Here is a 23,433-nt window from a genome sequence, read left to right as displayed (position 1 = left end):
GATGAGATTAATATCTAACCTGGTAAAAGCAGATTGCCCTCCCTAATGTGGGTAGGCTCCATCCAATCAGTATTTTGTTCTGAACGGAATAAAAGAGGCTGACCCTCCTCTAAGTGAGAGAGAATTCCTCCAGCCTGCCTGCCTGCCTTCAAACTGTGATATCAGTTTTTTTCCTGCCATTAGACTCAAACTGAAACATTGGCTCTTTCCAGGTCTCAAGCCTGGCAGCCTTCTGACTAGAATTACACTATTGTCTCTCCTGAGTCTCCAGCTTGCTGACTCACCCTGCAGATCTTGGGACATGGCAGCCTCCATAATGCCATAAGCCAATTCCTTGTAATAAATCTCTTTCTATATATGTATATCCTATTGCTTCTGTTTTTCTGGAAAACCCTAATACAGGCATTGATTCACAAAGTGTGGTCATTGAACAAGCAGTGTCAGCATCACCTGAGAACTTGTTAGAAATGCAGACTCTCTGGCCTCACCCAGGCCAACCAAATCAGAAACTCTGGGGGTGGGCCCCAGGGTTTTAAAAAACTACCTGAAAGTGATTCTGATGCAAACTTATGCTTTAGCACCACTGCTCTAGAGCAAGGTGCCTGCAGGCAGGAGGGTTTAAGAGAGAACAGGTGGAGGGCTTGCCTTATACAGGAGGAGATACATTTTGCACTACAAAAGAAGCAAAGAAGAGAAGAAATGGGTTGCTAGATAAGGGTGAGTTTAAGATTTAGGGGTGGAAATTTGAGGCAGCTACTACCCTGGCTTCTATTTTGTCTGCAGGGCAGAAGACAATGTGATATTCTAAGAGAAAGTAGGGAGGTGGTGGGTGGAAAGAGTTGAGAAAAGTTGGTGAAAATGTGAAATAATCATTGCAGAAAGTAGGAAAATTTGAGGGCCCACTGAGGTCAGGGAGTAACCATACCACACCAGCCAGCTGCAAGATTTTCCCAGATGTGGTCAGCCTCTCCAGTGGCTGGGATTACAAACACATGCCCCCATGCCCAGTTAATTTTTAGTATTTTTAGTAGAGATGGTGTTTCTCCATGTTGGCCAGGCTGGTCTGGAACTCCTGGCCACAAGTGATCCACCCACCTCAGCCTCCCAAAGTGCTGGGATCATAGCCACCACCATTAAAGCCCTTTGATAAGCAGAATGACAAGATCATTGCAACCTGCATTTTTTCATCCTAATATTTGTAAAGATGATAAAGGCTGAACTATTTGGCTAACAGACTAGATGTATTCCTAGAAGCTGCTCTCTAAAACTAAATTTAATACATAAGCTAATACTTTACCTTTAAAAATTACTATCCCTGATATGAAAAACATTAAAGTCTTCATAAACAAATAGACAAAAAGGGAATAGGAATAAACAATTCACAAAACAGAAATGTAAGTGACTGATAGACAACAATGTTCAATAAAAAACACAAGACTTTTCAGCACTTAATGATGCTCTTCATCTTTGGCAATGATGTGATGAGATTAATCTCATTAGTATTGGTTAACATACATTGGCATAATCCTCACAGAAAGCAATTTGACAATAGATATTTCAAAAACAATTTTGAAAATAGGTAATCTTTTTGACTAGTATTTCTACTTCTAAATATTTATGCACAACAAATTTTATTATAACATTTTTAAATGAATATAATATCCAATAATAAGGGAGTGCTAAGTTAACACTTACGATGAAATATTTATTCAGCCTTTATAAATGGTATTTATAGAAAGTAAGTAAAGATGTAAAAAAATCAATAATATAAAGCAGATAAAAACATTTCACGATGTAGAAATACATAAACAGTATAATCTTAACTGTGCAAAGTATATATATTTGTGTATATATATATTCAAAAATATTGGCAGTAAATGGGCTAAAATTTTAATGGCTATTATCTCTAAATTTAGGGTTTAAAGTTGATTTTTATGATGAGAACAGATGGACACATAGAGGGGAACAACGCACACTGGGGCCTACCTGAGGACAGAGGTTTGGAGGAGGGAGAGGATCAGGAAAAATAACTAACGGATACTAGGCTTCGTACCTGGGTGATGAAATAATCTGTACAGCTAACCCCCATGACACACATTTACCTACGTAACAAGCCTGCACATCCTGCATATGTACCCTTGAACTTAAAAGTTAAAAAAGACAAAGATGATTTTTATTTCCTTCTTTATGTTTTCTATATTTTACAAATTGCTGATGACAAGAATTCAATCTACTGATAGTTAGAAAATAAATCTTTACAATAAGTTAATAGTTCTGTGACAAAAATGAATCAGCCCTAAAATAAATACAGCTTCCTTTATTGTTGCCAACAAAGAATTTTATTTTTACAAATCCATTTAAGTCTACCTTTCTCTGAAAAATGTTATAACCCATCTCTGGTTATTTCACTGTTTCAATTGGGGGTAGGAGAGAGGCAGGTATTTCCCCCTCTCTCTCGGTGCCTCAAGAGTGCCATATGTATATAGTTGAACATTAACAAGTGATTGTGGATGATGACTCCATTTCCCCCCGAATTCCCTGTGCCTGGTATAACCATGTCCTCACAGCATGTGCTTTCTAAGCAACGTTCCCTCTTCTCATTTTCCCAAATCTGGGATCATTCTTTCTCATAACAAAAAAAAAGTTAGAATTATAACTGTGCCCAGGAAGGACACATATCTGAGTCTCAAACATCAGTAGGTTTTTGTCACTAGGGATGAAGTGTGTCTAGGCTAAAAGAATGGTGGCATTTCAGAGGGCCATTCTCACCACTAGGAAAATAAGAGAGGAGGTTCTCGTTTCACATACAGAAAGGGCCTTAAAATTGTGTAAACTTGCATTATTAGATAACATGAATCAAATATCCTTCCTTGTTTTATAATTCTCATTTTGATCAAACCCCTCTTTGGGATGTTAGTTTTCAACATCCAAAATTGGAGAGTTAAAAATACAATAAAAAAATCCAGCCTTCTTAGCCCATGATTAAATGCCTTAAATCAGGCTTGGTGGGTGGAAAAGAACAATATTTGAAATTGCCCTGATGGAGGGTACCTAGTGATTCTTCCTACTTCAGCTTGTAAGCAAGATTTTAAATTATCTTTCTAGGAATAAATTTGCAGAGATATAAACTTATTTAAAAAAGAAATTGTCATTAAATACTATTATTTATGGAATTGTCTGTATCCACTAATTTTATTTCAGAAAAGCAATCAACTTTATGATATATATTCTGTGTCTGCCATCCTACAGAAGTTTATAAATGCTCCCAATTTATACTAGCATTATCTTTAACAGAAAAGATAACATTATGGTTTGGTCTTTAATAATTCATAAAGGTCTCATGATATGTTTCAGGACGCTTATACCTTCTTTCTCAGCATTTGCTTTGAAAGCATTATTTAAATATTTCCCTTTAAATGTTTTTACCTTTCTCTTTCTATTTATTTAAAGTTCACCCAGCAAAGCCTGCCAGCAATTATCCCCCAGCTGTGGTATTTCACTTGCTTAAACAGAAATCATATGAGCAAATAATAGTTATTTTCATTCTACACAGCTAATCATGTAGCAGTCACTGAATTCCTTTGCAATTTCTGGCTACAGACATTAGATGAAACCATCCATTAATATGATTTTCGTATGTCACCCTACTGTCTTTCATTTACAACATGAGATGTGACTGTTTAAAAAATTAGACTGATCTGTATGTGTGTTTTCTAGAATCCGTGGTTTTATGATATCAGCATATCATATGGCTAATTCTACCTCTAACAATATCCTGTAAAAGCAACAAGCAATTCCCTCCTCCAAAGATTTTACTGGGAAGCTTTAGGCCAAATGAAATCAGTTAAAACAATCATATACTCCCAAATCAAGCATCACTGGAGAGATGAGATTTAAAGGTAACAACTGTTCATTTTCAATAAAAAAATTTTAGTAACTTGGAGGAAAGACACAAAAAGAAAAGGAGTAAGACGAAATTACACTGGAATGGATTAGTGAAAAAAATAATAAAACAGTTTTACATCAGCCATTAATTTGTGAATATCCTAAAATTATTTGAAAATTTTAAATTTCTTTCATATGACAAATATGGTCAAATGAAATTTGTCTTTTTCATCTGACAAATATACTCAAAATGAAATGGGTGTCTGCCCTTAGAGTTCTTCAGAACCCCACATTGTGGGATATTCTATACTTTATCATGAGGTTAACTCTAATATATTCTGTCTTTTATGCCTATTTTTCTCTCCATGTCTCATATATGTATTTCCCCAAAACAAAAGAGAAAGCATCACTTTCTCGGTATACTGACGCTATGGGAAGATCAGTGGATATCGAGGAAGTAGTCTTAAGTGGGCATGGGGCCAGCCAGCCAAGTTGGCATCAAGTTCTGCACTGTCATTCTCTATCAGAAGACTCACACTAGGTGAAGAATCCAACAATGTCAGAGTTAACGTTCAAAGATACAAACAGAGAAAGTGGGCTAAGACATGGCAAAAGTCAAATATGTAAATATATATTAACATTCTGCATTCAAATCAGCCATGAGAGAACATGTAGATGATAAATGCCCAGGTAAAGAAACCAGGAGATGTATCCCAGCAGGTAGCATGCTAAATATTCATTCAAAAACTCTGTGAGCATCCATTATGTGGCAAGCAGTATTCTGTAGAATATACAGCATTAAATAAAATGAATAAAAAAGTGGATCACCTGAGGTCAGGAGTTCAAGACCAGCCTGGCCAACATGGTGAAACCCCGTCTCTACTAAAATACAAAAATTAGCCAGGCATGATGGCGGGTGCCTCTAATCCCAGCTACACAGGAGGCTGAGACAGGAGAATCGCTTGAACCTGGGTGCTTGAATCCGGGTGACGGTGGTTGCAGTGAGCCGAGATGGCACCACTGCACTCCAGCCTGGGTGGCTGAGTGAGACTCCATCTCAAAAAAAAAAGAAAAAAGAAAGAAAAAATCCCTGACTTTACTGAGCATACATTCAGTGTTGAAAATAAATAATAAGATAAATACAGAGTGATTAGAAGTTAGGAGAAAATGAACAGGAAAGAAGGAATGTGGTAGATAGTCCCTAAAGATGGCCACCAATATTCCATCTCTCCGCTTAAGAGATAGGGTCTATTTTCTCTCTCCTTGAATCCAGGCTGGCCTTCTGACCTGCTCTGACTAATAGAACAGGTGGAGGTATCAGCTCCAGGCCTGGCCCTTACGAGACCTGGCCGCTTCTTTATTACTGTCTGAGAACCTAGCTGCCGCATTGTAAGAAAGTCCAGACTATCCTTCTGGAGATACAAGTTCACATGGACAGGCCCTGGATCACAAGACCAAGGTGGGGAGGATGACAATAGGAAGAAGAACGAAGGTGCACCACTGAGCTCCCACCTGCATGCAAATACAGCAGAGACCCCACTGGCACCACACCACATAAAAAGAATAGAAACCCAGTAAACCCAGAAAATTGAGAGAAATAATAAGGCACTGTTGTTTCAAGCCATTCAATTTTGGGGTGCTTTTTAAAATATAGTAATAGATAACTAAAACATTGGGAGGAAACAGATTAAATTGGTAATCATAAAAGTGATCAACTTAAGATAAAATTGGTAATTATAAAAATGATGAACTTATAGCATAACAATGAGATTTTCTATGTCTTTTCTGAGGGTACAGCAAAAAAGAAAATATTTAAATTGCATAAGGAGAGAAATAGCTAAGCAGAATAAATCCTATTGGCCACTGGAAAGGAATATGCTGCATTTCTACAGTAGAAGTTGAGAGGCAAAGAACGATCTTGCTGACCCAGTTTATAGGTCTTTAAACCTGAAGAATGACAACTAAGGAGCAGCACCTGGGGAATGGCACCCACTTGCTTCAGCCAAATCTGGCCCTGATCTAACCTGGAAGATCCTGGAACTCAAGTGTAAACCACAGGACTTAATGGGATGTGACTTTGAAGGTTGTGAGTGTAATTTGCAGGTGGGAGAGAAGTGAATCACTTGGGGCTAAAGGGCAGACGGGAGTAGACTATTGGGTTGGTAGTCTCCAATTAACCACACCTCCCGGTGTTCATATACTTGTGTAATCTCCTGCCACATTGGCTCTGGCCATGGCTATGTGACTGGAGTTAAACAACAGGACATTAGCAAGTGTGATACAAGCAGAGGCTGGGTAAGCCCTTCCCCTGGGGGCCTGTCTTCTTCTTGGAAGGCTGTCACTTGGAAGTCAGCCTGTATGACTTAAGCAAGGCCTGGCTATTCTACTGGAAGGAGAGCCACGTAGAGAGGCCCTGGAGGATGAGCCACCACGGAGAGAGACCATGTGGAGGAAAATCAAGATGTATCAGTGGAGCTCTCCGCTGAATGTAGACTCCCCCAGATAGGGAAGGAACACCCACTCACCTGCAAAATTGTCGCAAATAACAAATCATTCCTGTTTAAGCCACTAAATTTTGGGGTGGTTTATTACACAACAATAAATAGATACCTGACATAAGGAATGAGGCGTAGGAAGACTTCATTGAGAAGACTTCAGGAGGTTGAGAAAGAAGCCATGTAGGTATCTGGAGAACGCATTCCAGGCAGAGGGAATAGCAAATGACAAGGCCCTCAGGTGGCATTAGCCCTGGCTTATGTGAGGAACTGCAAGGAAGCCAGTGTAGCTGGAACAGTGTGAGGGACGTGGAGAACATTAGGAGATGAAGTCAGTGCAGTCACAGGGACACGATCAGCCTCGGCTTTGTAGGTCATTGTAAAGATTGTAACTTTTATCCAAAGACTGATAGAAAATCCATGGAGATTTTTAAGCACTCATCAATTCACTTAACAAATATCTATTTAGCATGAGTGTGTGCCAGTTTTACAGTGCTGGGCGTTCAACAATGAATGGGACTCCGAGTGTGTTTTGGAGGAGGGAAGTGAAGGTGGTGAGAAGGGAGAGTGGGATCACAAAAGAACCTGGCCAAGGAAGGACAGCAGGAAGACCGCTTTCAGTTGGCTCAGGCCAACCTGAAGGACAGAGATCCCTTCGGCCACGACCCCCCTTTGCTTTCCTCGAAATCTTTCTTCAGGATCAAGTGCTACAACTTTACATTAGGGTACATTATACCCACATTTAAAAAGCTCACTTCTCTTTTAATACAATTTAGTTTCCTAAAAGCTTTTTCCAAACAAATCGTGGCATTTCATCAGCCATGCACACATATTCTCTAAAGATCTTGCAAGGCTCCAGCATTGTGTGCTCTAAATGTGTGTCAATACATTTACAGAAAAAGGCTCTGTTAAATTTAAAACAAATCTCTTCAAAAAGACACTATGTACTTCCCAAAAGGTACTTTATGAATATAGTACTTTACACACTGCTGTGAGGTTTTAGAGCAATTGACTTACCACCCGCATCATATTCTTACAACCAAACTAAATGACAAAGTAACAAGCAAAGAAGGCACCGAGCTAACATTATTATAGTTTTAAATAAAAGTTCATGAAGCAATTTTCCTTAAGTGTGGTCTGGTGCCACACACATCAAAGTATATTTGGCAACATGAATGATGACAGAGTAACAAGAGGATTTTGTCAGGCCTTGTCGAGAATATTTCCTGAAGGAAAGCATGGAGAACTGATGGGGGATGGGATCAAATGTATTCCTGCATTGGTCAACCCATCCACTTATACTGAATCCGGATGGTCTCCTAGTTCAGGAATGACTGTATTTAAAATAACAGTTTCACAGAACTTCTTGTCAAACATACTACCTTTTTGGGAAAAAAACACAAGTGCCCCCTTCAATGGAATAAAATCCCTCTACTTATGCTATTCTTCCATGGGCTTGTAAAGACAGAAAATCCTAAAATACTTTGCTGCTTTAGAACAGACCTTGGTCCAGCTAACTCAGTTCTCCCAGCAATACAGTAAAATGCTCCTCTTCACCTAATGTTATTTCTTATGTTCTGGTTAATGGCAGGATCTGAATTTCCAGCTCCCTGATATTTGATGAATTGATTGAGCATTTGTTTCCTGCCAGCAGCTGTTTTTCTGATATAAGGGCAATATAAAACAGATAAGAAAGACCTAAAAATAGTATTGTGTCTACTAACACTTTCCCCTGTACATTTTAAATCATTCTCATCTAAGCTGTTTTATTTTCCACTTTCAATCTTTCACTTTCACAGACCGATAGCCTAACTTCTCTTGAAATACAATTCTGGTTTTAGGACACATGACGAAATATATGGCGTTCTCTGCCACTACAGCTTCTGCACCCTCTCTCTGGTCTTGCACTTTAGCTTCTCTTCCCCAGTCTGAAACAATAATTTCCAAAGATGCCAGTAAGTGACTTTCTTACTAAGCCACCTTCAAGGGGCTAGACCAATGTTTCTCTAAATGAGTCTCTTGGTTCACCAGAATTGGAATCACTTGGTGTCAAAATTCAGGTCCCAAGACCCCACCCCAAACTTATTAACTTGGAATTTCTGGATATGTGCCCTGGAATTTTTGACAAACATCTCAATTGATTTGAATATACTAGATATTTAAGGAGCATGGTTCCAGACAATGGTCCTTAAGCCATGTTAGAATCTGGTAAATACAGCAATGCAAACCCTCAGCCCAGGAAAATGTGCAGGAGAACTTCATTTTGTACATCTCTCAGGGAGTTCACAGAAGCCCTGAAGCCTGTCAATGGACCCTTGCCCCCAGGATGTCTAGACCCAGGATCAGAACTCCTTTTTAAAATAACCTTTTCTTTGAGGTTTCCAGGGAAATCAGTGTGGAAAAATTGTTTGAGTACCCACTGCGCTCTGTTCTGTTCTGTTGAGGAGAGTCATTGACAATTTATCTTTTATCTCAACCTCAAAATGAAGTATGTTTCTTCTTATTCAATTCACACAAGTATTGTGAAGCTGAAATTGCTTTAAGAGCTTTAGAAGAAAGGCATCATATAAATGCAAATAACAGGAGATTTGATAAAAAGAATAGTCATATCCAAGTGCACAACGGCTGCCCGATCCAAATGAACAGCTTGAGGTTTTACTGCTATTGTCATTCAATACACATCAGAGAATAAAGACTGAGAAGTGAGCCTTCTAGAATTCTTTCTGCTTGAATTGCTGGCATATTTTTCTCATGCTATCATGTAATATGCCATGTAGAGAACTGAAAGAAGACATCAGGGATCATGAGTCCTATAGGCTTTCTACTACCACCCCAAAAGGATACAGAGGCATTTCACTGATGGGAAAATGCTCCACAACTTCCTATTCAACCACAGCAAGGAAACTCAGGGAGCTCTGAAAAGAGTATTCAAATCACCATTTTCTCCCTGTGGCAAGATATATTTTTTAACACTTAGCACAAACATCCACCCACACATTATGAAGTCAGGCATTTAACATTTTAACTGCTCGGGTTGGCATGCCTACCATGCCCCCTGCTCCAAAAACTGTTGGTTTTTGTAATCAGGGCAACAGTGCTGGTGGTCAGCCTAAGGAGATATTGGGGAGCTAATTCAATATGAAAATAATAAATAGCAGGATTTTTTCTAGACAGTCCTACTCTGTGGATAGCATATCAGCAACCATTCACAGACTTCCTCTGAAATTTGCTCTGACACGGCTTACAGTTTAGCCAATAGCTGACCACAGCACTCCTGACTTGGTTGCTACAAATTGAAGGAGCAGTTGGATACAATGCATGCATAGCCATGAGTGAGTGGCCAATAGCTTTTTGCATGGCATCTTTCTAATTCTATGTAAGATATAAACAGCAAGGACAGGAAAGTAACCTCACCTTTAGAACATGAGCTCCAGAGTCCATATGTGAAATCCTTAACAACTACACAAGAAAGAAAAGGAGAAAGTGATAGTCTATCAGGCCTGAGGCATCTGAGACCTTATCTTTGATTGATATGCGTATTATTCTTTTTTTAATTAATATCCTTTTAGGTCACAGTATTAATTTTCCTCTTGTTTGAAGAAACAGGCAGATTGCTTATTTTACATTTCAGCAAACTCATATAGAGAAACAATCAATCCTCATGGACTTAAATAGAGCAAATTAATCAAATACAAAAGGCGAGAACTAATTCAGAAACTACCCAATGGGAAATGAGAAACAGGAGAGAAAGCCCATGCTTTTGAATAGACTTTGGATGCCATAAACTTAAACCAATATATTATCTCACTTTCCTCCCACAGCTTCCCTGCAGGAGGCAGGACAAAATCAAACAGAGCAGCCTGTAAGGCAAGATCAGGCCCCAGTTCTAAATGCCTCTATGCATAGTTAGTGGGCCTTAAGGAGAGAGAAATTTAATGCTTAAAAATGAAGATCATTCTGTATCTTTAGCTTCTTTCTGACACGTTAGGCAAAACTTCCAAATATCCTAGCACATATCAAAACCAAAAATCTCATAACGACAGCAGGACATGCTGTCAAAAGAAGAAAGCTAAAGATTCCTACTCGAACAACTTTTCTTTCACTTCAAATCACAAACTTTGAACCTACAGAGCTTTCATGATACATCATGCAGTTGGAAGGATTCAAGAGCTAAAGAGTTCTAATTTTTTAGTCATGTGAAATAGAGTTAATATAGATAAGACTGAACATATTATCAAAGATTTCCATTCTATTGGTTACATCAATGGAATTTTTTTATCATAATACCAATGAAAATAATACATCTGCCTAAGACTTTCGGAGTGAATGTTAGAACCTTCTTTGAAATTGCTTATTATCTTGCCTTTTGAAACCTAATATATTCCTGTCACAGATTGGGTGTGCTATTTTATGATTGAGGACAGAAAAGTTCTACTCATGATGGAACTATTGTCTCACTCTCTTTCATGTTCAAAAATGTTTCCAATGTTGTTGTTCATGCATGCAAATGAGGCTAAAAAATGAGCGGCAGTTCTTTCTCAGCTTGATACATGTAAAGTCCATTTTTCATCAACAGCTCTTGGAAGAACCTGCCACTGATTGCAGCTCTGCTTTTCTCATCACAGTGTGATGGATGTTTTTGCTCAAAATAAGCCGCCCTTTGCTGATTGCTGCAGGCTGCTTGGTCTGTCAATTGTGAAAATACAGCATTCCCCAGCTAGGCCACGTTGCTTATTGTAATCAGAGTCAGATGCAAACATTCATTCCAATGATACCCTAGTTCTGATCTCTATTTGCTCTACTGCAGTGCTCATTTTGGTTGTGAGGTATCCTCAGAACAAAACTGCCATGGGTTAAAGATCAAATCACTCACCTTAATTGAGTTAAAATCTTCTCAGTCAGAGACTAAGCCTCTCATTTTTCCTGAAAGATGTGCGAAAGGGTGAGTTTCCTTTTAAAATGCAACTGGGCAGAAGCTACCATTTGTGATGAGGATACAGGAAAATTTGTGACTGAAAATTTGATTCCAGACAGCAACTCTGAATGTTATTAATACTTGTCTATCAAAGGGGTGACACTTAAAAGCATGCTTGTATGTGTCACACAATATTGGGAGTAAAGTGATTAAACAGAAAGGTCCTGAACTACTTCCTAGGTACTGCTGTTAGAAGGGGCATGGGGAGTTTAATGGTGTTATTCAAAAATAACTACATTATATCCATATTTATGTATAATGGAGATCCATTTTTAGTTTATTAAATGAAATTTGGCCTAAAGCTGTCTATGTAGTGAACTGCAACCTAACTTACTATGTAAACAAAATGCAACCTCACTTAAGAGTATATTCTGCAACAGATAGCTGAGTCTCAGCCGGTCACAGGCTGCCAACTGATCAGCCTTATATTTGTTCATATAAGACAAATACTGAGCTATAATCAAAGTATTTCTATATGTCATTTCCTTTTTCTGTCCATAAATATTGCCTGCCCATATTGGATGAAGATCTCTGAACTACTGGTTAGAACTGGGTAGCAGTGAGAACCAGGAGAGGTTCAGAGAGCTCCACCCAGCAATGGGGACAGGTAGTATTTATAAACAGAAAAAGGAAGTGATACAGAAACCACTTGATTGGTTGCAGCTGCCTTATTTAAGCATGCTGGTTGAGGTATTTGTCTTATATGGGCATGATCTGATCAGTTGGCAGCCCTGATTGGCTGAAGCTCAACTACTGGGATTAGTTGAGACTCAGCTATTTGTTGCAAGACTATAATAAAGTGAGGTTGCAGTTTGTGTACAAAATAAGTTAAGTTGCAGAATACTAGGTACAGAGGCTACTGTAGATCAAATTTAATTTAATGTAACATAGTCCCGGTGGCTGCTAGAGCTCCAGCTATTATATCTGCACTCCAGACAGCAAGATGAAAGAAACAAGAAAAATCTCATCACCTCCGTTTTTTCTTTAAGAGACTTCAGAGCAATCTCACACAACACTTCCATTTACGTCTCATAGGTAAGAATCTGGTCATATGGCTATACCTAGTTGCACTGGAAAGTTATTATTCAAGGCCACAACAAATGTGGCTAAAATTTGGGGTTCTCTTACTAAAGCAGAAGGGAAAATGGGTATTTGTTAGAAAACTAGTAATACCTACTACAGCACTAACTCCTCACCACCATCTCTGCACATTCAGAGCCATTAAATGAACTTGGACAAGTCACTTAAATCTCTCTATGCTTCAATTTCCTCAACTCATGAGGTAACACACCTGTTAATTAGCTTGATTAGCCATTCCACAATGTGTACATATATTCCAAAATATCATTTGTACACAATAAGCACATAGAATTTTATCAATTTAAATAAAATAAAAAATTTAAAAATTTCCTCAACTCTAAAATATCTACCTTGTGCGTTTGTTTGAAACTTAAATGAGCTGACATGTAGAGGGCCGAAGGCATGCAGGTTCTTGGTAAACAACAGCCTCCTTCCACATCTCAACAGAAACCAGAATGACTCCAATCCACCCAAACTCCTTGGAGCCTATAATTGGGACCATTGTTCCCTTCCTCAGGGCCACACTGGCTGAGCTCTCCTGGCCCCTGGCCCAATGCTGGCTTCCTCTCCTCTTCTTTTCTGTAGCACACTCTTATGCCCATTTTGATCCACAGAAGCCTCAGCCAGGCCTGATAACTGAGCCCACAGAAGTTGTGGCAACTGGGACACTGAATAAACAAGGAAGAATTGGAGGAATGAAAAAGAGCGTACACATAAAAAAGCATTCAGGAAAAATGGAAGAAACAAGTTTTCCACTAAGACCTCAGATGCCAAAAAGACTAAATAATTTTTTTTAGCAAGGTGGCAAACCATTAAGGTTTCTAGCAGTTTCTCCTACCTGCTTAGCAGAATATGCCTCTAGATTATCCAGCTCTGTTTTATGCTTCAAGTCATTTCTCTTGGAGGACCCATTGAGACAATGTGAATAACTTGGGATAACCCATCACCACTAAGGGCCAAACACTACAAAGTGTAAGTCTTCTTGATAGATCTATCCCTTGCATGAGGACGCCAGAGGGTTGCTGACCACTCACCTGCTACTGCAACCCACATTCTCTGGAAGCAGATGCTGAGATGGAGTTTTGAATGCAATATGTTTGTGAGTGGATAAACTCCTGTAAATGAAGGAGCTGAAGCAAAATTGGGCAGAAGGGGAAGTTAAATTGCAATTCTAGCCCCATAAAGCTGACAGAGCACTTTGGCACAAGTGTTGTCTAACAGAATATCCTACTTCAGGGTGAAATGGCCTGGTCTTTATAGCCCCTCATCTCACACCAATATCAGTTGTGAGCTGTCTGGAATGGCATGACCTCAGCTGAGACCGACCCTAAAGGAGCTGACAGCTTCAGGCTGTGCACTAACTGCACTCCCCACAGCTGGGCAGCAAGACCTGTTCTGAAGAGGGATCAAGCAGCACATGTCTACCCTACCTGCCATAGAAATTAATGTAAAACCATAAAAGGATTTCAGTGTTTTCCTGGCTCTGCTGTTCATGCATTGATTTCTTGTCACAAACGGAGTTGACACAAAAATCACTGTATTTCACTCCTCAACTCACACATCACAGAATGGCTACTTAATTGATAGCAGACTTGAAATGCTATATAAACAACTCAATTAAGATCAGGAAGATTAGAAAATCAAGCTTACTCTATCAGCCCTCTTGGTATAAAGATCAATGTATATAAATAAGGATTTTGCAATTTAAAAAAATATTCAAATATACTTCATAATCAATAGCAAGAACCCCTAAAGATAAGGACTGTGGAAGAAAATGATGTTTTAGCAGATTTCCAATATTTTCTAAATCTTGCTTTACTAAGAAGCAAACTGTTTTAGTACTTATTTTCCAATTTTCAATTCTCCTGAAATGCAATGGATGCTTTCATTTTCTATTTAAATGTTCAGTGGTAAGCTGAATTTCCCCAATTCTCAGGGTAATCTCACAATCACCATGTGTGTCCTTCCATAGGGATTCCATCTAAGAAACGCTAGGCACCCTTCTATATTTCACAAAATTACCAAATTCCCAAAGAAGCAAAACACACAAAAAGGGTTTGCTGCATGGGAATCAAAATCATCCCTGACTTTACAAATAAAACCTAATGTGTTACGTTATTAAGCGCAACTCCACTACTGAACAAGATCACTTGTAATAAATGATTTTGAATTTGGTGGAGAGGTGTTTAAGAAACTAGAACAGAAATAGATCAGATCACCAAAACACTATAGGTTTCACAATGCCATAGTTCAGTTAACTGCCACTTCCATTTTAGCCTACCTATGGAGTTGCTCTTACAGTAACTATTAAAATATTTCTCAAAGCAGAAAATTTTACTAGGGAATATACTAGAAAATATGCAAGAAAGAGGAGAATAAGAACGGAATAAGGAATGAGTACAAGCGTATTCAACTGTATGGAGCTAAGCGTTTAATGAAGAAAGGATCAGAGCTGAGAAAGTGTTGTTGAAAGGACACCAAACAGAGTGGCATGACTCTACATCAAGGGTCATCAAACCACAGCCCATGAGCCAAATCCAACCCATCACCTGTTTTGGTAAATAAAGTTTTATTGGAGCACCCAGCTATGTTTACATATTGTTTATGACTTCTTTCATGCTACAACAGATAGCAGAATTGAGCAGTTGCAACAGAGACTGTATGGTCCACAAAGCTAAAAATGTTTGCTGATCTCCAAAATATTTGCTGAAACATTTGTTGATCTCTACTCTAGATAGTTACAGAAGCTGAGTCACAGAGGGCACCAGGCTAGTAGCTGTGATATAGATTTAAATGAAGAAGTAAGCTACTTTGGGAAAAGACAGAGCTAAGGCAGGGTTTCAGGACAACCAGTGATCTGTTCTAACTCCTATGTGCAAACCCGGCCATGCTGTTTGGATACTTAGGTGGCTGAATAGCATAGGCCAGAGGAGGGCCAAGGCTCAGCTGATGGTTGGAAGGCCACTCCTCTCTTCTGATGAGGTTACAAGATGGCTCATTTGCTACCTTATGGAAAGAGCTTTGAAGAAAAGCACAGTGCACCTGCCTGTTGTCATTGGATTTGAATACTGTTGACTATAATATAGATGTGACACATACTTCAAATAACGATCCTCCCTGGTAGTGCCTGGACATGTTTAAGGTTTCCCCTTACATTGTGATCGTGGTAGCTTTATCTAAGTTTCTCTCCTTGAATCTCCTCTATTCAAACTCTCACTCTCCTGGAGGCATTTGCATGAACATTCTTAGCTTCAAGTAACTTCTATAGACTGCTGACTCCCAACTCTGCATCTCCTGAACTTAAGATCCACATACCCACTGCCTTTGGAACAAGTCTACTCCTCAAATGCAATGCATACGAAAACTCAACTCCTCTTTGCCTCTAAATAAATGAACTCAGACTGCCTTAGTTAAAATCCTAACTCCACCCCTACTCAGCTATGTAACCTTGGGCCAGTCATTTAAACTCTCTAAGCCTTGGTTTCCTCCTATGTAAAGAGGGGATAACAGTAGTGCTTACTACAGAGTGTGGTTGTGAGAACTGAATGAGATCACGTATGAAAAGGACTCAAAACAGTCCTTTTCACTGACACACAGGAATAACTCAATAACTATTAGGAGTAGTGAAATTATCATTAGAAGGTTCTATTTTTATTTACAACATTAGTAAACAGCGCCTCCATTAAATGTTACTTTTTGCCTTGCCCCTCCCTTGAAATTCTGACCTCTCTATGCTCACATAGAACCAAATAGATCAGGGATGTACTGCATTGTTTTGTAACAGCTTATTTACATGTTGTCTCTCCTGTGGATCCACAAGCTGTGGCTAATTTAACTCAATACTGGAAAGATATTGTAGAATGAATAGGAAGAGTGGACAGATGGAGAGACAAATTAAGAGGATACTAGATGAGACCTACAGGATTTTTAAACTAAGTCGGTGGGAGTGAGGATGAGAGAGAAGGATTTCAGAAAAGTTTAGAAGAAAGAATCAACAGAACTTTTCAATGTTTGGATGTCAATGATGAGAGAAAGTCTTTCATTTTACTTCCAGCCAACCACAAGTTTATCCACTCTTAAAATTTAAGTTTATCCAACCCTTGCAAGAGAATATTTGCAACAGAGCAAAGGGTGTTGTTTTGAGCTAGGACTGGTAATAAGAGCGAGAATCAGATGCTACTTCAGATTTCCTCTCTGCCCAGCTTGCATGCATTGGTCATCACCTAGTTTCTTCGGCAGTTTTCTTCTTCATCAGGTAGTGTGGCACAATGGCTATGCACATAGACTTCAAGGTTAGACAAACCTAGATTTACGTTCCAGTTCCTCCTTGATAACTGCGGACCATGGGCAAGTTACTTAACCCTCCAAATCCCAGTTTCCTCATCTTTAAAATGGGAGTGATGATTGTGTTTACCTTATTGGTTTGTGTGGAAATTAAATAGATAAAGCATTTAATGCTTTCGACACAGTGCCTGGAAAATAGTAAATGTCCTATATTAGCTGCTTTTATTTTATAAAAGCAAACAATTAAAGTAGTGAATCTTTAGCTTTGAGATCTACAATTGTTAAGACACTCATATGACATAACTGCAACTTTTATACCATACATCATGAAATATAATCAGATGTCTAGTCTGGAATTTTGTAAGAAATTAGGCATTAAATATCATATTAAGCCAAAAGACAAAATCTCATCCTATAGAAACTGGTAAGAGTTATCATTTGCGATTGGACAAGAAGAAAAAAAGTCAATCAATCGGACTAATTTAACCTCAGTAATTTATTTTTATAATAATAAAAATCTGTACTTTCGTTAAGAATAAATGGTAAATAACCAATCTAAACTTATATCACTACTCACACAAATTCCTTTATCTATCAGTTATGAATTGCTCATAAACCCTTTTGGATTTCAAGATTCTTGTTCAGTATAGAAAAAGCAAAGACACCTAATATATTTAGTAATCTCATTTGGCTAGAAAATGGAAAGTAATTGTTTTTTTGTTTTGTTTTGCTTTGTTTTGTTACCAACCCAGGCCTACAGAGGAAAGTAATTTTTATAAGTAGCATATTTTATTACTACAGCTAATTTAGAAATGATTGGTTTACAGTATTTAGTATTTATTTTTGTTTGAGCAAACTATAAAATCCAGATGGCCTTTCAAGTTCCTGATTGAAAAGCTTTTCTTATTTACAAAAGCGACTAATTTGACACTGACAGTAGTTGGTTCTTAATTTTCTTTTCAATCACATCATTGCCAGTATAATGCCAAAACAGAGAAGGGTGACTTCTAAAATAAAAGCAACTAAGCCCTAAGAGGAAGTTTTCCCTAACTCTGCTCACCCTTCAACTCAACCACTGCTACTTCCAGGTTTCAGACATCCATAAAATTTCAGTTTAACAGAATTTGAAAAGACAGACAAGTTTTATAAGCAAAATTAAGGAGGTCTGTAGCTAAAATGTGTCATCTTCATAAAAAAAGGATCTTGAGGATATTCTAAACATCACTTGCAAAATCAGAAGGAAGGTAGGTAAAAGGAATCCATTCCAGTTGGGCTTTTGATCCTCTGTGTAACTTCAATCAAATCATTTCTTTTTGTACTTCTTTTTTTTTTTTGGCCCATTTCTGAAGCAATAATTGAAGGAATAATTGCCATATCACTATCTTGAAAGTGTGATTTAAGAACTAAATTCTAGGAATGCCTTTTGGCCTCATTTTCCCATTTGAAAAACTGATGAAATTATACCAGAATTTCTTCTAAGTTTGCTTTTAGCTTTAAAATACTATGAGTCTAATAGATCATAAGTTATTTTCATGAAACCTAAAAACATTTTATTCAGAAGGCCCCCTGGCCAAGTACAACTATGTTATCCACACGGAATAAACACTTAACCATTAACACAGACTATTTGTATGGATTTCTTTAGGTTCCTAAAGAAATGGAACTTGTGACTGGCAAATTTTGCAGGCAAGTCAGAAAATGGAAAGGCCAGGACTACAGAGACCTGTGTGGGGAGAAGAGAATCATGTAGAGAGAAAGCTGGGGGGTCAAGGTCAGAGTACTTTCTTCATGGTAGATGCTCAACAGGAATGGTAAACTTTCTTGGAAGGTAGGATTAGAGGTCACAAGTATAAGGAAAGGGGAAACTCCGAAAAAGAAATCTGTGGGACATTAAAGACTACCTCATGATATCAAGTTTTATGAGTATCCTCTTAAAAATAAACCTGAAATCATAAACAAGAACTGTCACCATGTGAATAAACATATAAAGCTTAAAGTTGCTGTTAAAAGTAATCTTATAGTAAGGACTTTTTCTTGGCAAAACTACAGTGCAGGAAGAAAAAAAAAAAAACATGGCTTTCTCGTCTCCCCCCATCACACTTATCCTCCTGTCCACTTCTTATCCTTCCTTTGATTCTTCCCTAATAATCCCCATTTCTTAGCTCTCAGGTCATCAAACAGCTCATTGTACAATCCCTCTCAGCCATGGACTTAACTAGGAAACATTGCAATTTGCTTTAGAACACCCCTTAGAAGCATGGAGTAGTAGGATGAGCATGGGCTTCGAAGTCAGGCAACGTGGGTATCAATCCTGGCACCCTGGCCACATAGGGAAATTATGTATTTGGCCAAGCCATAGCATCTAAACACGCTGTGAAGTTCAAAGGAGATAATCTACTTAAAATTCCTACCACAGTTGTTTCAGAGGCAATTCTTAGGCACAAAGAGTGTCTTGATAACCTAGATAGGCCTTCCTATTCTCATGTAGAATAGAGAGATTTTAGGAGAAAACCTGTTCCTTTTCTTTGGGGAAAATGGTAAGTGAAATTGAAGCTCACAAAACAGCCTGATTGTAGGGTATCAAGAATAAGATTTGATGACACTGGTGATTTTGTAATGCCTTCCTTGCTGTGAGAGTATGATGATTCATAAAAGAAAAATAATACTTGTGGAAAGGAGAAGATAGAAAAGGTGAATCATGTCCCAAAGGAAACTTCATTTATACCATATCCTCATTTATATGCATGAATTCATTCTTCTAAAAGTTTAAGTTTGTCATGGTTAATCTATGACTATAGGGTCATTCTATAAGTCTCCAGTGAAATAAGAGTTGGTGTAATTATCCACAAAATTCAGGCATATTTTTAAAACCCACAAGTTTTGCCTAAATTACTCAGATAAGCACTCTGACTGCTCAGCTCATTCTGCGGGGGAAGTGCATTAACTCCCACTCCAGAGTAGAAGCTGGCGTTATCCCTGGAGCTTCTTTAAGTGTTTCTGAACATCTGATTACTTATAGTCTGTGACTCACAAATTATATAAATCTTTTGAGAATTGAGCATTAATGCTTTCTTTTCATTCCCATTATATTGAAAAATAATAGCACCACCTCTGAAAGAAATTAGAGTCCAACAGCTAATATTTACTATGGACAATCTTACTCAAAGTAATCCTCAGTAAATGTCAATTATATGCACAGTCTACTAATCAGAGACAACAGGAGGCTTGAGAGGGAATTATGACCCCAACAAAGACTTCAATCTATATGCCTTTCCTAGAGGAAGAGACTCGATGATTTCTTTAAGACTAGAACATGGGTTTCCTGACTTTCAGGCAGGAGTCTTACCATTGTTCCATACTTACCCTAGCCAAGCAGGGTGCAGTGTAAATATTTTGACATTCTGGTTAGATCTGCCACTTCCCAGTAATGAGACTATGGAAAAAAATGCTGAACCCCTTTGACTCCTTAATTTCCTCATCTGTGAAATGAGAATACTGTATCTTATATAATGGACATAAAGCTTAAATGTACACATATAAAATTTTTCTAAGGTTATACTGATTGCATCAAACAACCACAATATCTCAAAACTTTCCAAGAACAAATAATTCTTGCGCTCCTGCACTCAGCTGGGGCTCCACGTGCTTTATTATTTTAAAACCAGGCTGAAGTAATAGCCAGTGCTGAGCTGAGGAATTGGAGTAAGAGAGCAAATGGACACAAACGAAGCCTCTTAATGCCTCAGCTCACTGGCATACTTCCATTCCTCCCCATTTTCCAATCATCAAAGCAAGTTTTATGGCCAACCCCAAAGTCAATAGGGAAGAATATGTCACTTATCAAGATAAACAAATCATTTAAACAAATAGCCAGAAAACGTAAAACATAAATATAATCAGTGCTTCCTAAATGTTGATTACAACCCCTACTACCTCTCCAAGCCTTGATTCCCAGGTTTGCAGATTACAGGTGTTCACTAATTAATTGCTGATTCATTAAACTGTTGGCTAATAATTATCATCATTCAAATAGTGGAAGCAATAACACAGGTTTTAGTCTGCAAATATAAGCAGTTTTCTTTTGGACACTTGAGTCACACATTTTTATCACATGAATTTTAAACTGTATTTTTTTTAAACTTTCATTTTAAGCATTTTGTCTTTAGGTACTGTATGCTGTCCAGCGTAGACTCTTAATATATACGTATTGAAAAGTTTGAAAGTGCTCAGGTCTTCAACAATGGTGTCTTAATCATATTAAGATGTACTTTAATAAAGTTAAAGTCTTAAATAATAATTGTCATCAGTTGAAAAGGTGCAGTAAAATTATATAGTACTGTACCAACCTACATGCATAGATAATATAGACTGAAATAACCTTAGGGACAGTTTTGTAGTGGTCACAATCATAAAAATCTCAAAAAGCAGAAAAGGGAAGTGACAAATCACAAGGATATATTTATTATCACCCAATATTAATTTTTACCATTAGCATCTTGTGTCAGAACTCCAAGGACTACCAGGAAAAAATGAAGAAACTATGATTAGGAAATGGGCGTTCCCACTTTCATCCAAAATTGCCATTTGCATGAAGGTGACTTTGTATAAATTATATTCATCTCTTTTCAGGATCCTTGACTGTATATCAAAATGAAATATTAAGTTGTGTATTCACAGAATCCCAAGTTAAGAAGGATATTCTCTTGGGTTGAATTCGGTGATGAATTTCGAGTTACTCTCTCTCTCTGTGTGAGAGTCTATATTGTATAGGAGAGCTTCATTTATAAAATGTCTCAGTATTGAAGTGACCCCGAAACAATAAAAGGTGGGCATGTGATACCTAAAAACATCTGTTTGGAATGCATTTATTTACATGCCATTCATCAAAAGGGATTAGTTATTCTCTAGATTAATGCTATGCCTTCATTACTGCCCTATATGGTTAAGACTTTCACAATAATTCTCCATTTTCATCTATCTTTTGGATTAAATTGATTTTTAGTCTGCAAGAAGAGGAAACAATTTCACAAAGGAATCAGGTTCATTCTGAGCACTGTTCTGTAAAGCCACACCCTCAGTTCCCAGGGCTCTATGCATTCACTCTCCTTTGATACCAGAAGTTCATTGATAAGTTTGAGAAACACTGCCTGGGAGAATACTTAGGATGCATTACAGAATTTATTTAGGGAACAGAATATTTAGGGAAATTTGCAGGCAAGACTTAAATGCAAGAAAACAGGCAGCTGAAATATTTGTATATTTTTAGGAAAACCAATATAAATCCCTTTTCCAGCCCTCCAAAATCACTCTCACATAGTTTTTGAAGCTTAAAATTCCTTCCACACAAGAGAGCAATGCCTTTCAACCCATAGGTAGTGACATGGGTAACTAACCAATACTGTGCTTAAAGTGTACATACACTTGAGAATGACAGTATGTTATATTCTCAACAAAGATACAAGCAGCTGAAACCAAATCTTTCCTGAAAGCAAGTTTTAACTGAGGAAAAAAGCAAGATATTCTGTGCACATTAAGTGGAAAAAAACAGGAAGGGAATCCATGCATTGGGAAAAGAAGTCTAGAAAGAGCAAGTAAGAGTGTCAAAACAAGCTTTACCCAATTCAGAATTTTCCAAGAGTTACAATGAGTGGCTGACTTCTATTTCCTGATCCAGCCTCTGCCATCTTTCCCTCCTGCTCCTTCAACTCACTGCCTTGCAAGGACACTAAAGTATTTCTGCTAGCCATATAGATGGTGGTATCACCAGTTGCAATCCAAACCAAATTTAATGCTCTTTTGGCAGAAAGAAGTTTTAAGTTGTGAGGATGAGTTTTGCTAACATCTGTTAACTAATAAAAGAGCTTTCTCATTGTATACACTAGTTTAAAATGAGTAAAAAAAATTGAAATGTCATAAAACAATAGCATATACAGAGTTGTTCTGAAAAAGAAAAGGTATAGGAAAGACATGACAAAAACTTAACGCAAAAGGACTAAAGTAAGTTCACCAATGATAGGCATGTTTGGTTTCAATACAACAAAGAAGCCTGTGCACTATGGCTCACACCTGTAATCCCAGTATTTTGGGAAGCTGAGGTGGGAGAATCCCTTGAGCCCAGGAATTCAAGACCAACCTGGGCAACATAGCAAGACCCTGTCTCTTAAAAACAAACAAAAAAAATTCCTAAAAACTGGAGCTATAAAAAATGAAGGGGGCTTCTCTCTAAGCTGATGAACTCCCTGGCACTCAAATTTTCAGGTAAGGCTAATGTAGAGAGGGTGCCTGATTGGGAGATGGAGAAGGAACTAAAACTAAATTTAATGCTAAGCATCTCTAATTTTCTATAGACAATATCTCCCCTGGGGCATAAAGAAAGAGAGTTTTGAGACATTAATATAACCCAGAAAATAACAAATATTAGAGAATGACCATAAAAATGAAAATATTTAATGTTACCAATAAACCTGGAGGCCAGAAGAGACATAAACAAAGATGAGACACAACGAATGGTGGCAGGGAAAAGCAAGTAAGCAGAATACATTGGAATATGGTAACCAGGTAGGATTAAGGAAAAGCTGGGATAGGGAAATGGATGCTACTGGACCATGGCTGAGGGCACCAGGAATAAAGGCACAAGGGATTTGAGAATCAGGAGAGTGAGAAATCAGCCTGAAATGGAGTTTCCCAAAATGGAGGGAATACATGTTTTATGGG

The 23,433-nt window shown here is 38.0% G+C and overlaps 1 long non-coding RNA gene across 12 annotated transcripts in view, besides 2 other annotated features; it reads right to left on the bottom strand.

Moving 5' to 3' along the window:
* Positions 1 to 23,433, bottom strand: part of LOC105370461 (uncharacterized) — a 433,650-nt gene that overhangs the window by 172,997 nt on the left and 237,220 nt on the right. Inside the window, exon 5 of one of the 12 annotated variants that reach the window (XR_007064123.1) lies at positions 1,685 to 20,198. The exons of the other annotated variants lie outside the window; for them this stretch is intronic. This is a non-coding gene — a long non-coding RNA (uncharacterized LOC105370461). Of the gene's footprint in view, positions 1 to 1,684; positions 20,199 to 23,433 lie in introns of those variants that run through there. 12 annotated transcript variants of the gene reach the window in all.
* Positions 18,498 to 19,203: an enhancer, noted in NCBI's record as "OCT4-NANOG-H3K27ac-H3K4me1 hESC enhancer chr14:40143003-40143708 (GRCh37/hg19 assembly coordinates)". NCBI's record gives its function as "activates a minimal SCP1, AML or CMV promoter by ChIP-STARR-seq in naive and primed H9 embryonic stem cells {active_cell/tissue: H9 hESC(naive and primed)}" and the evidence as "EXISTENCE:reporter gene assay evidence [ECO:0000049][PMID:30033119]".
* Positions 19,204 to 19,909: an enhancer, noted in NCBI's record as "OCT4-NANOG-H3K27ac-H3K4me1 hESC enhancer chr14:40142297-40143002 (GRCh37/hg19 assembly coordinates)". NCBI's record gives its function as "activates a minimal SCP1, AML or CMV promoter by ChIP-STARR-seq in primed H9 embryonic stem cells {active_cell/tissue: H9 hESC(primed)}" and the evidence as "EXISTENCE:reporter gene assay evidence [ECO:0000049][PMID:30033119]".

The sequence above is a fragment of the Homo sapiens genome, chromosome 14, assembly GCF_000001405.40.
Source record: "Homo sapiens chromosome 14, GRCh38.p14 Primary Assembly".
Lineage (NCBI taxonomy): Eukaryota > Metazoa > Chordata > Mammalia > Primates > Hominidae > Homo > Homo sapiens.
The sequence above is the reverse complement of the archived record's forward strand: the minus strand, read 5'-3'. Positions and strand labels throughout refer to the sequence as shown.